Here is a 13,332-nt window from a genome sequence, read left to right as displayed (position 1 = left end):
AATGTCTGACCTGAAGCAATACACCCACTCCAGCTTTCCAAAGTGTGTGAGAGAAATTGGCACTTGGCCAATTCTTGGTTTTCTATTGATCTTAATTCTCTTGAATTATGGCCTCTTTAAATTCATCATGGCAATATCTTCAAACTTTTGTGAATTTCCAAATTTGCACATACTACTGTAGCAATTTCACACGAGAATTATAAGCTAGCTATAATTCTATGTACTGAGAAGCAGCATAGTACAGTAAATCATTACAGATACTTATGTGAATTCTTCATACTTTTAACGATTCTGTAATTGCAAGGCTAAACTCACTTGTACAATGATTAAAATAAATTATGTTACTAAAATGAAATCTTTATCTTAATACACCATTAAAATGGGTATAATAGGCCGGGCATGGTGTCTCACGCCTGTAATCCCAGCACTTTAGGAGGCTGAGGCGGGCGTATCACCTGAGGTCAGGAGTTCAAGACCAGGCTAGCCAACATGGTGAAACCCCATCTCTACCAAAAATACAAAAATTAGCTAGGCATGGTGGCCCACGCCTGTAATCCCAGCTACACAGGAGGCTGAGGCAGGATAATCTCTTGAACCCGGAAGGCAGAGGTTGCAGTGAGCTGAGATCGTGGCACTGTACTCCAGCCTGGGTGATAGAGCAGACTCAGTCTCAAAAAAAATTAAATAATAATAAAATAATAAATAAATAAAATGGGTATAATAATAATGTTAATCTCATAGGTGAGATTGAGAAAAGCTTTTAGTACAGAGGCTATCAAGGAATAAGCACTCTGTATCTTATCTATTGTCACTATTAATGTATTCCTAACAACAGCACAATTATTACTACACTAACATTAGCCAGAGATCTACCTGAATTGCAAAACCAAAGGGAAGATAACATTCTTTTGGGGTCTATTTTCCACAAAACTTGTTCTCGACCTGAGGGTTTTACTTCCTTGCTAAGTTCTTTGCCTTTTTCATAACAGCCTGGAAGCACAGATTGTTTATATGCACAATTTGGAAAAAAGTTTTTAATTTGAATAAGTTAAGAATTTCAGAGTCACTTAAAATTAGTATTTGAAATGTGTGTTAAATCCACAAATTCCAAGGGTTACTGTGCTCAACATTTTAAATGTCAATATTCTACATTTTGAGGCAAAAATTGAAGGACTAGGGCAAAAATGTGAGGGGAATGGATAAAATGCTTACTACATATAATACATGTGGCAAGGTGCTTTTATTATTTTATTTAATCCATATAACAGTTCTATAAAGCAGATATTATTACCCCTGTTTTACAGAGGCAATATATCAGCAAAATTAAGAGATTTGCCTAAATTCCCACAATTAGCAAGTGGTCAGGATTCAAATCCAAGCCTCAAGGCATTGCTCTTTCTATCATATCCACCAATCTAACTGTAATGTATTGTTATTCTGTTTTATCAGATTATCTTCCCCTTAGTAGTATATTTAATTTCACCTAAATGTGGAAGAAATCATTTTTTCTAATTACATTTATTTATTTATTTATTTATTTTTGAGACAGAGTCTTGCTCTGTCACCCAGGCTGGAGTGCAGTGGTGCCGTCTCGGCTCACTGCAACCTCCGCCTCCCAGGTTCAAGCAATTCTCCTGCCTCAGCCTCCCGAGTAGCTGGGATTACATGCGCTTGCCACCACGCCTGGCTAATTTTTGTAGTTTTGGTAGAGATGGGGTTTCGCCATGTTGGCCAGGCTGGTCTTGAGCTCCTGACCTCAAGTGATCCACCTGCCTCAACCACCCAAAAAACTGGGATTACAGGTGTGAGCCACCATGCCCAGCCTCTAATTACTTTTAATTAAAAATTTTGCATTTACGTATAAACATTCAGAATATCACCAAAACAGGGGCAATATCATCATAATTATTTTATTATTATTATTTGCTATCACAGAGTAGTGTACAACTAACAGAACAATTATATTGGGTAAGCTGCACGAAAAACAATTGAAGAGGGAAAAATAATATCTCCATATATATGTAATTGATTTGTACTATGCACTAATAAAGCCTGCCTTAAATTTCTGTTCTAGTTTAAACCCCGAAACAGTACCAGGCAAGGTTAGTGGCTATTGAAAATATCATTAAGGACAGGGTTATCTAAAGACACACTGGATACTACATTAATTTTGCAAAAATAAAAAGACAGTATACAGTGTTCAGTTTAAAAACAAATCATATGATCTTACATTTCAGCTTTTTTTCTTTGAAATCAGTGGTGTAATGCGGAGTTAAATACTTTTAGGCAAAAAACAAACACATACACACACACTCACACAAAAACAAATTAATAAAACAAAAGCCTCTTTTAAAACCACCCTATTGACCATCATCATTTTTTTCTTCACCCTTTTCATCTTTCTATTCACCAATGTCTTTCCAGTCCTTTTTTTCTTTTCTTCTTTTTTCTTTTTCCAGTTTTTCCAACTTCCCCTTTCCCTGCATCAGACTTTCTTTTATCCCAGAATACAGCAATAGCCTTTATATCTATAATCTTAAAAGCCTTTCTTTCCTCAAGGCTGTATATTATCTGCAGCAGTAATTCTTCATTTCTTTCATTTCTCTCAGTTTTCTTACATCATCGCCAATGAATTAGCCAAGATGTTCTCCTGTGCTCTTTTGGTGAAATTTTCAGAACAAAACAAGAAAAAGGAGATCCCTTTGGTACATTAGAATCCTGGAACTTCTTTCTTCTCTCTCTTTCTCTCTCTCGTTTCCTTGTAGACAGAATATAGATTTTTGTTTCTTTCTTATAATGGGCCTGTTCACCTTCACCCTGTCTTCCAATTTTTTCTTTCTCTTTAGCAGAAATGAATTTCCATCTTTTCTGAACATAAAAAAAAGAAGAATTCTAAGAAGTTGACTGAAGCATCTGGGTGCTTTTTCTTGGGCTCCTTCTGGCAAGTTGGCAGAACGAAGGAAAGAAGGCAGGGAAGGAGGGAGAGAGGAGGGAGGGAAGGAAGGAAGGAAGGAAGGAAGGAAGGAAGGAAGGAAGGAAGGAAGGAAGGAAGGGAGGGAGGGAGGGAGGGAGGGAGGGGGAAGGGAGGGGAGGGGAGGGAAGGAGGCAGGCAGAGAGGTGGGGGAAAAGAGAAAAAAAAAAGAAAGAGAAAGGAAGAAAGGAAGGAAGGGAGAGAGTGAGAAGGAGAGAAAGAAAAAGAGATAGGAAGAAAAGCATGCAAAGGCATTTTGCCTCTTACTCCCTTGGATCTCCTTTCCCCAAGTGTCTAGTTAACTTTTCCTCAGCCAGGCAGTCACCCAGTACCTGTTTTGCTCTTACTTGCCCTGACACTGTCTGTAGCGCTTAATGCTTTGCCATGACTGTCTTCTTATTTAAAAAATAGTTCCATAATAAAAGTTCATTATTTCCTTCTGTCAGCCAAGAAAGTATGTAGCTTTCTATGTTTTCTACCTGTCTGTAACTCCAACCCTGCCCCAACATGAGGTCCTCTGTGTACTTTGTTTGACAGAGGCTTTGCTTTCTCATTCTTTAACAATGTTACTTCTCAAAAGCAAGCATAGGGTTAATTACAGCTTAGACTCCACTAGGTTCTCCCAAAGCAATGCTTCCATTGGTTAATGGAGTGATTGAGTCTCTGCCTCTTTACCTGTTTTCCCCACTCTCAGACCTATTGCAATCCCTTTAATTGCTAAAATAACACAGTAGTAGCATACTGCTAAGAAAGACAGATGGAGAAAAGATGGGATTGGTTCTGCCACTTTTTAGCAATGTGATCTTGGTCAAGCAAACTTTCTGAATCTTTACTTATTCATCAGTAAAATGGACTTAATAATCACTTATGTCTATTTCACTGATTGCAGCGACTTCATAAATGAAATAATTCATGTGAAACTATTTTGTAACATGTAATGCCCTTTAAATATGTTGGCTGTTATAATTGTTACTATTACTAAATAGTAACCTGAAAAATTATCGGTAGAGATAGTTTGCTAGCAGCTTGGTTCTTTCCTTTAGACTGTTTTGGTTACCTTTTGTTATGTGACAAACCATCCCAAAACTTAGTGACTTAAAACAGGGGTCAGCAGCAAACTACAGCCCATGGGCCAACAGTCAGTTTTTATAAGTAAAGATTTATAGCCACACAGTGACACTCATGCATTTACACATGGTCTGTGTCTGCTCTGTGTTACAGGGTAGAGTTGAGTACCTGTGCCAGAGATGATATGACCCACAAGCCTAAAACACTGTCTGGTCCTTTAAGAAAATGTCTGCCCACACCTGGCTTAAAACAACAATGATTTATTATTTCTCACAATTCTGTTTTGGCAAACTGGGCATTATCGCTGCTGGTCTCACTTGGGATCACTCAACTGGCTGCAACTTTCTGATGGCTTGACTGAGACTGAAGGTCTCAGACAGCCTTGCTCACATGTCTGGCAGGTGGTGGCTGTCAGCTGGGGCATCTTCACTTCCCTGAACAGCCTTTCCTTCTCCAGTGGGGTAGACCGACTTCTTCACAGCATGGTTGTCTTGGGATGCTAATAAGGCAAGAGCAGAAATGCAAGGCCTCTCAAAGCTAGTCTCTGGAACTCATACAGTAGCATTTATATCATATTCTGCCAGTCAAGGCAAGCCACTTTGCCAACCCAGATTCAAGAGTTGGGGAAATAGGCTCTACTTCTTAATGGCAGGAGTATCACATTGCAAAGGCCTATGGACCCAAACTAGTTTGATTCACTGGGGATGGCTATTAATATGATCTACCACAGACTACTTTAAGTAAACTGTTTCTATGTGGCCTAGATTGAGTTTGTATTTTGCAGAAACTGAATTCTGCTGGAATGTGCCAGTTAGAATGATCCTAGTGCTGTTATTATATAAACCTTTTTTTTTGTTGTTCTGTTTCATTGACAGCTTTTCTTAGTGACACTAAAGATCGAGGCCCTCCAGTGCAGTCACAGATCTGGAGAAGTGGTGAAAAGGTCCCGTTTGTGCAGACATATTCCTTGAGAGCATTTGAGAAACCCCCTCAGGTACAGACCCAGGCTCTTCGAGACTTTGAGAAGGTAAGTCATGTGAGTGGATAATTGTTATCCCAATTAGAAGCAGTACTATGGAATAGTGATGCCTGATAAAAATATGACCCATGGATTGGTCCGGATTATGGATGGTATTATCATTATGGTGTCTCTTTCAAGAGCATGTCCCAATAAACATATGCTCTGTCAGCTGTGTGCTGGGGGGTGTGGTTATGGACCCTTGCCTGTACAGCAGTCCCTCCTTTGGATGCCTCAAACTGCATAGTACTGAACCCTATATTTACTATGTCTTTTTCTATACATACATACTTAGGATAAAGTTTAATTTATAAATTAAATGTTAATGAGGCTAACAGTAGTTAATAATAACATAGAACAATTATAACAATATACCAGCATTACTACTCTTGCACTTTTACATTGTTAAGTAAAATAGGAGTTACTGGAACACAAGCGCTGTGATACTGCAACAATCTGATAACCCAGACAGTACTGAGTGACTAACTGGTGGGCGATATATACAGCCTGGATGTGCTGGACAAAGGGATGATTCAAGGGTGAGATAGAGTGGATGGCACGAGATTTCATCATGCTGCTCAGAACAATGTGCAATTTAAAATTTATGAGTTGTTCATTTCTAGAATTTTCTATTTAACATTTTCAGACTGTGGTTGACTGTGGGTAACTGACACCATGGAAAGCAAAACTGTGGATAAGGGGGGACTAACTGTACCAGTAAATGCTGCCTCATCACCTACACCCTTGGTTTACTTCTCAGATAAACTCAGGAAGTTTAAATGGCATTCTGAGAATCTGTAGCTGCAACATAGTGAGCCCAGGAGTCCCGGTCCAGCAGCTAGTATTAAATTCTCTGTTGCTAGCTTGGACCTCTCTCGATATCTAGGAATTGTCTGCAGTGTGGGGTGGCACAGTAACAACCATTTGTTTCTCAACAAGAATCTGATAATGTTGCTTGAACCTCCTGAACCAGTGCTGCATGCTCTGCTTCTTCATATGTTTGTCCTTAGATTTGACCAAAAACAATAACTGATAATGTAATACAGATTCCCCAGCTCCCTGTGAGCTGGGTTGAGCCCAGGAAGTCTGTACAAGAGAGCATGTCTACTGGGATTTAAATAGCCCAGAAACAGGCAGCCGGAATTTCTTATACTCTTGTGCTCTAAAAAAAAAAAAAAAAAAAAAAAGGAAGAAAGAAATAGCTCTTTGGTGCCCCCTCAGGGATACCCAGCAAGCAGGTCCCACATAAATAATGTGTAAATAGTCTGTGAGATACTGGGGTTTCTCTCATTCTGGAATTGGAATTGATAACTTTTGACAGAAAAAAAAAAAGTAAAATTCTAATCTCAAAAAATTTTGTGTTGACATGGGTTTACCCCATCTTCCCTCAATTTGTAAGTAGAAATATTTCACCAATACTTTCTGTACATCCTACCAGATATTTCTGTGGGCAAAGAATATGCACCATATAACGTGTGCCTAAGAATTAACAGCCTATTCTTCAAATTTTATGCTTAGCATTCTCATGTATACTGTGTGTATGTTTTTTTTAAGACATGGAGAGTTTGCATGGTAATCAAGAGGCTTTTGAAGACTAAACCTCCGAACAGCTGTGTGGTGCTGGTGGGGGAAGCAAGGATGCTAACACCCCAACCCCCTCCTTTTTTTGTTTTTTTTTTTTCACCTTTTGGATCTGCTGTGATGCAGAAAGGGCAAGCAGAGCTGCAGAGCTCCTCAAAACTGTGTGGGGTGCTCTCCAAAGGCCAGCCAGCCTGCATGTTCCTTTTCATTGAGAGATGACTGGAAATATAGAAATGAGGGGTGTCACCTCCATTGAAAGAATGGGTGGCAGATATAAGGCCCAAAGTCCTTTTCTTTTAGAGTTTAGATCTAATATGACAGATTAGTCCTTATTTCTCGATGCTGGGAAACACTGACAGAAACCAAGCTAAGACGCAGGGAAAAGGCCAATAAGAGATAGTTTAAATCTCTCTCTGCTATGTGTCAAATAAAAAGTAAATAAAGAGGCTACAACCCACTTCAGGCTTGATCAGAAAGTCATTGCCGGTAAATCATGCAGTGTTGTGTCACACGTTTGTTCATTTTCATATCCGTTCATCCATCCTGTGGACTCTGAATGACAGCACCTAAAATACAAAACGCCTCCATGAAAGGGTTTAAAAATTAGAGAAAACATTGGTTAGAAAAAATACAGGAGAGATAGGAACACATTCCTATGCCCTACCCTAAAAATGGTAAAATACTAAATAACATGGTATTTTCTGTAAAGTTTAAAATATGCATTTGGTAGCCTTGGGATATAGGATAGGTAGCAGTACTCAGAGAGAGGAGGGGACATGCTAAATGTTTTTTGCCAAAGTAGGGTCGACTCCTCCAGGGCTTAAAGACAAAGGGAGACAGGCCTGGAAGAAGCAGCCAGGAATCCCTTCTTATTTCATTTATCCATGCAACAAACACATGATCACATTAAATGAGATACTTTAGTTCCTGCCCTTAGATAGTTATAGTCTATTTGGAAGTACAGACATTGCATTAAATACAATATAGCATGGCAAGTGCTTTCATAGAGATAAGGACAGTACACTCTGAGATCTTGAGAGAAAATGTCTACTTTTATTAAAGGAGTAGGGAAAGGCCTCTTACCAGAGGACATTTCTCCTGGGGGCTTCACGTTGAGCAAGGTCTCCAAAGCTGAGTTAGATTTTACTAGTCAGGGAAGTAGAGTATAATATTCCAGACAGAGGGGAGATTTGGGGGAAGGAAGAGAGATATGTTCAAATAAGAGACTGGACTATAGAGAGGTAAGAAAAAGAGAGTTAGAACAGGAGAGAAGTAATACTAAAAGTACTCAATCTGTCAAAAGTAATTATAATTGTTCAGTAATGCAGTTACCTCTAAAATGTTTGCTGATGTAGGAAATTCTAGAGAAAAAAGGCTCTTTGATTACAGGGAAAGAGATAACAGACTAAAAATGCAAATACTGGCACATTATGGAACCAAAACATAATTAGTCAATTAACAAGCGAAAGTGACAATTATCATTTATGTTGGTGTAGAAAAAAGGGACAAAGAAAGCAACATTTCCAACATACAACAGTGTTTCTTTTCTTTCATTCTCCACCCACAACCAACAGCATGGTTGTATGTGTATACAAACTCCAATTGTATGTTTGTCAGGTTGAGGTCAATAGGTATTACACTCCATGATGAAAGGAGGGCATTGCTTAGCATATATGCTTCATTTGTATTTTTGAATGAGTGAGTGATTTAATTAATTTCCCAACCTTACCAACTTCGTTATGTAGGCGCTTTTCCCCACTCAGAGAATCCACTGATGAAGGGATTCTCTGTGGGTTTAGTGTATTGAGCAGTGGGTTTAGTGTATTGAGCAGTGGGTTAAGTGTATCTCATAAGTTGTTTTATTTTGTCTTTATAAGACACGGAACAAGCATCACTCTCCCCATTTTTTAAGTGAGGGAACCAGGACTCACGGAAATTGTGACTTTTTCAGGGCCATAAGTTTATGTACCATGATCATAAATCTGAACACATTATTGGATCAGAAATAAATTTTACCTACAAATGGTCACAATGATGTGTTGAGAAAAATCCCTTGCCCTATGCTTTCTCGCTGATCACAGCACCCAGCTGCAGCATCTCTGGAATGAGCAAGACTTCAGCAGCACATACATAATACTGGCTAGCATTTGATGATCACTTTCTATGTGGCAGATATTGCTCTAAGTATGTGACAGCATGATCTCATTTACAACAACCTTGTGAAAAGGCATGTTCACCAGTTAGAATGGCGATCATTAAAAATCAGGAAACAACAGGTGCTGGAGAGGATGTGGAGACATAGGAACGCTTTTACACTGCTGGTGGGAGTGTAAATTAGTTCAACCATTGTAAAAGACAGTGTGACAATTCTTCAAGGATCTAGAACTAGAAATGCCATTTGACCCAGCAATCCCATTACTGGGTATATACCCAAAGGATTATAAATCATTCTACTATAAAGACACATGCACACGTATGTTTATTGCAGCACTATTAACAATGGCAAAGACTTGGAACCAACCCAAATGCCCATTAATGTTAGAATGGATAAAGAAAATGTGGCACATATACGCCATGGAATACTATGCAGCCATAAAAAAAGAATGAGTTCATGTCCTTTGCAGGGACGTGGATGAAGCTGGAAACCATCATTCTCAGCAAACTAACACAGGAACAGAAAACCAAACACCCTATGTTCTCACACATAAATGGGAGTTGACTAATGAGAACACATGGACACAGGGAGGGGATCATCACGCACAGGGGCCTGTCAGGGGCTGTGGGGCAAGGTGAGGGATAATATTAGGAGAAATACCTAATATAGATGACGGGTTGATGGGTGTGGCAAACCAACATGGCACACGTATACTGTGCAACAAACCTGCACGTTCTGCACATGTATCCCAGAACTTCAAATATAATAAAAAAAAGAAAAGCCATGATTATTATTCCAGTTTACAAATGATGAACTAATGGCAAAAAGAATAACAAAGGAACTTGTCCAATAACTCATGATTGAGCCTGAAAACACCTGATGTCTTTGTGACCTAAAGATAGTGGGCATGTCCTATGTTGGGGAACTCAGCTGGTGAAAGTTTGGTGCTAATGAAGGTGTTGGCTTATTTGGAAATGGAATCACTAGTTCCTCCTATTTAGATTGATGCAGATTGAAATCCTACCAGATTCCTGCCTCTCTAGGTAAACTGTAAATCCACTTTTGTCTTCCAGTATTCTCTATTACATGATTTTTACTCTATTAATTCTGAACTGCTTGCAATTCAAAGCTGTTTCATACTTTCATTTATTTGTACCTGCTGTTCCCTCTGCCTTGAAAACCTTTTCTCTCCTATTGTTTATTTGGTTAAAGTTTACTCATCCTTCAAGATTCAGCTCAGGTGCCTTTTTAAATTTATTTATTTTTTAATTTTAGGATGCCTTCTCTTACTCTCTAATCCCAGAATATATACCAAGACTCTAAGCTCCTTGAGGGCAGAAAACACCTCTTGCCCATTCTTTTCTAGTCTCTAGAATATAGCATAATGTAGTACATAGTAAGTGCTCAGTAAATATTCATCAACTAAACTAGCTGAAAAGTATTAAAAATTAGATATCCTATTGGATTTGTATCTCTTCTGCCTCTACCTGGTATTCACAATAAGTTGAATAGTTTTAAGGAGGGTATTGGTGTGTTAGTTGATTGGGTAGGATGGGAAACTAGGAAGTCAAGAAATGTACATTTCTTTTCCACTTTATTTTTTTATTGTTCATTTTTTTTGAGAAGGAGTCTTGCTGTGTCACCCAGGCTGGAGTGCAGTGGTGCAATCTCAGCTCACTGCAGCCTCTGCCTCCTGGATTCAAGCAGTTCTCCTGCCTGAGTAGCTGGGACTACAGGCTCCCGCCACCACACCCGGCTAATGTTTTGCATTTTTAGTAGAGATGGAGTTCCGCTATGTTGGTCAGGCTGGTCTCCAAATCCTGGCCTCAAGTGGTCCACCCTCCTTGGCCTCCCAAAGTGCTGGAATTTCAGGCGCGAACTACGCGCCTGGCCTCTTTTCCACTTTAAATGGAATGATAAAACTAAAAATGAAAAGGACGGGAGAGAAAGAGTCTTTTTGAAATAATATTTGACAGGATTTATTAAGAAGATCACAATAGTAGCTAATAACAATAAATACTATTTGAGTGCTCATTATGCACCAGGTACTTTTCTAGATATTTGACATATTTAATTTAGTGTATTTTCAGTTCATTTTCCTAACTTATGAGATAGATATTATTTTTACAACCATTATACTAGTGAAGAGATCAAGGTTCAAATAACTTGCCCAAAGTTATATAAGAATAAAGTAACGGAACCACTGTAACTCCAATGATTCCAAAGCTCTTGGGGAAATGAAAGGACTCTCAGAGAAGGAGAGCATTACATTGGTGGAATGCCTGCATTTGGGTTTTTTACATAGAATCAACATGGCAGACGGTACAGAAAAGCCACGGAAGGGTGGGAGTCTTTGGCTATAAAATCAAGAGGGGGCCTCCACTGCCCTGTCCTGTTTACACATTTTTCTAATAATGTTGTCTTTAACAAGAAAATATCATCAAAACCAGCTGTAGTGTATGCCTAACTGTACTCTGCAGCTTTCCTTGGCAGTCTGAATCTAACCGCAGTGAGTCAGCCTGTTCAGGTCCCACCCATCCTGGTGAACTTTTCCACTTGAATCTTGAAGTCTTTGGGGAGAAAAAAGAAAAAAAAAAGTGCTAAAAGCAGAAGGCTTTTTCATTTTGGGGAGTTTCTGGAGCTCTGAGTTATCACAGTCTGGGTAACCTGTGCTAATTTAGGTTAATTGGGGTCCTGTCACTGCCCTCTTTATGTTCCACAATTTTGGTGCTTCTCGAGTGTTTCTCTCTAATTACAGCCTTGGAAAATGAATACTACTAGTGAAGTGCATTTTTATTTAAAAAAAATGCATTCATTCTTCCAAACCACAGTGTCCCAAACATACTGGTTTTGTTTTCACTGGTATCTTAAGACATTCAAAAAGTTACTAGGAGGCAGGGGGTAAATATTAAACTTTCAGCAATCACAAGTGCAGTTTGTTTTCCCTTTTCAATCTCATGTTTAAAAAGGGAAACAGAAGGCTTCCACACACAGGCATTCCACAGACTTTCCATGCAAAGTTTTCTTTCCTAAGCAACATTACCAAAGATATGAATCAAATCAATTACTTTTTTTCTTATAGAACTACAGAGTAAAAGGAATGCTTCTGAGTGCTGTAGAATATACAAAGATGGACATGAGATTCCATTCTCAAAGAATGTACAATCTGATTGGGGCATAAAAAAATTTAAATTATACAAGATTTAATTTAAATAACATCTAAGGCAATATTGAAAGAGATATTTCAAGATGGGAGTACTTGCCAAACTAATGTATGTTTTTAAAACTTAAATATGGCGAGGTGTGGTGATCATGCCTATAATTGCAGCACTTTGGGAGGCTGAGGTGAGCGAATACCTGAGGTCAGGAGTTCGAGACTAGCCTGGCTAACATGGTGAAACCCCATCTCCATTAAAAATACAAAAATTAGCTAGGCATGGTGGCACATGCCTGTAATCCCAGTTACTCAGGAGGCTGAGGGAGGAGAAGCGCTTGAACCCAGAGGGCAGAGGTTGCAGTAAGCCGAGATCGAGCCACTGCACTCCAGCCTGGGCGACAAAGTGAGACTCTGTCTCAAATAAATAAATAAATCTTAAATACTGGGATAGAACATTTTTTCTAATTTGTGCACGCGCGTGTGCGTGTGTAAACTTTTCAAAGTTGTAAATATTAGCTTACATTTGGTCATGCAATTAATAAAGAAACTTTATCAAAAAGAATGAAATTACAAAAGTTGGACAACCCTGAACATTCTGAAAGGTATGATTACCAACACAGAAAAGAGAGCAACCACTTTCACAGAGAATGTAGCACTTGAATTAGAATAATTCTTTTCGTAATTTTAAATTATCTCCTTTCTGTCTCCTCATTAAAACTTGTTTTCTTCTCTTCTCCCGTTGTTCGAAGAGAAGCCCTATCTTTCTTTCTGTGGACTTTGCAAAGTTTCCATTCTAATGATAATTTCCATTCCAATACTAAATTTAAAAAATAGCAACAAAGATCATGATACCAATTAATATTTGTAAGTGCTTACAGTGTGCCAAGTTCTGAGAATGCACTTGACCTTATTATCTTATTCAGTTCTCCTAATAGTCTTTTGAGGTTGGTACAACCATTGTCTTTGTTTGTAGAGAGACACTGAAGCTAGGAAAACACTAGTAATTGATGGCAAGTGCTGGAGCTGGGATTTGGACATAAGTGTACTGGTTCTAGTGCCTAAACTCTTAGCCACAATTTTATTATGCTTACTGATAGCTGACCCCCTTATTCATTTGTTTGTTAATCCACTCATCCATTTATGAGTGCATCGTGTGTGCCAGGCCATGTTCTAGCTGTTAGTTGCACAATGATCAAGAATGAATGTATGAAAATATGTATTTTCGGCCGGGCGTGGCGGCTCACGCCTGTAATTCCAGCACTTTAGGAGGCTGAGGCAGGCGGATCACCTGAGGTCAGGAGTTCGAGACCAGCCTGGCCAACATGGTAAAACCCTGTCTCTCCTAAAAATACAAAAATTAGCCAGGTGTGGTGGTGCACACC

General features: G+C 38.9%; 1 protein-coding gene across 3 annotated transcripts in view; it reads left to right on the top strand.

The window, feature by feature from the left end:
- Positions 1 to 13,332, top strand: part of LOC124904395 (uncharacterized) — an 81,309-nt gene that overhangs the window by 55,387 nt on the left and 12,590 nt on the right. For 2 of the 3 annotated variants that reach the window (XM_047438030.1, XM_047438029.1), the window contains exon 3: positions 4,915 to 5,066. In XM_047438030.1, coding sequence (XP_047293986.1) covers positions 4,915 to 5,066 — 152 coding nt within the window. Of the gene's footprint in view, positions 1 to 4,914; positions 5,067 to 6,611; positions 13,219 to 13,332 lie in introns of those variants that run through there. The other variant, XM_047438028.1, reaches the window with a different exon arrangement.

This window comes from Homo sapiens, chromosome 1 (assembly GCF_000001405.40).
Source record: "Homo sapiens chromosome 1, GRCh38.p14 Primary Assembly".
Lineage (NCBI taxonomy): Eukaryota > Metazoa > Chordata > Mammalia > Primates > Hominidae > Homo > Homo sapiens.
This window is presented reverse-complemented; position numbering and strand designations above follow the sequence as displayed.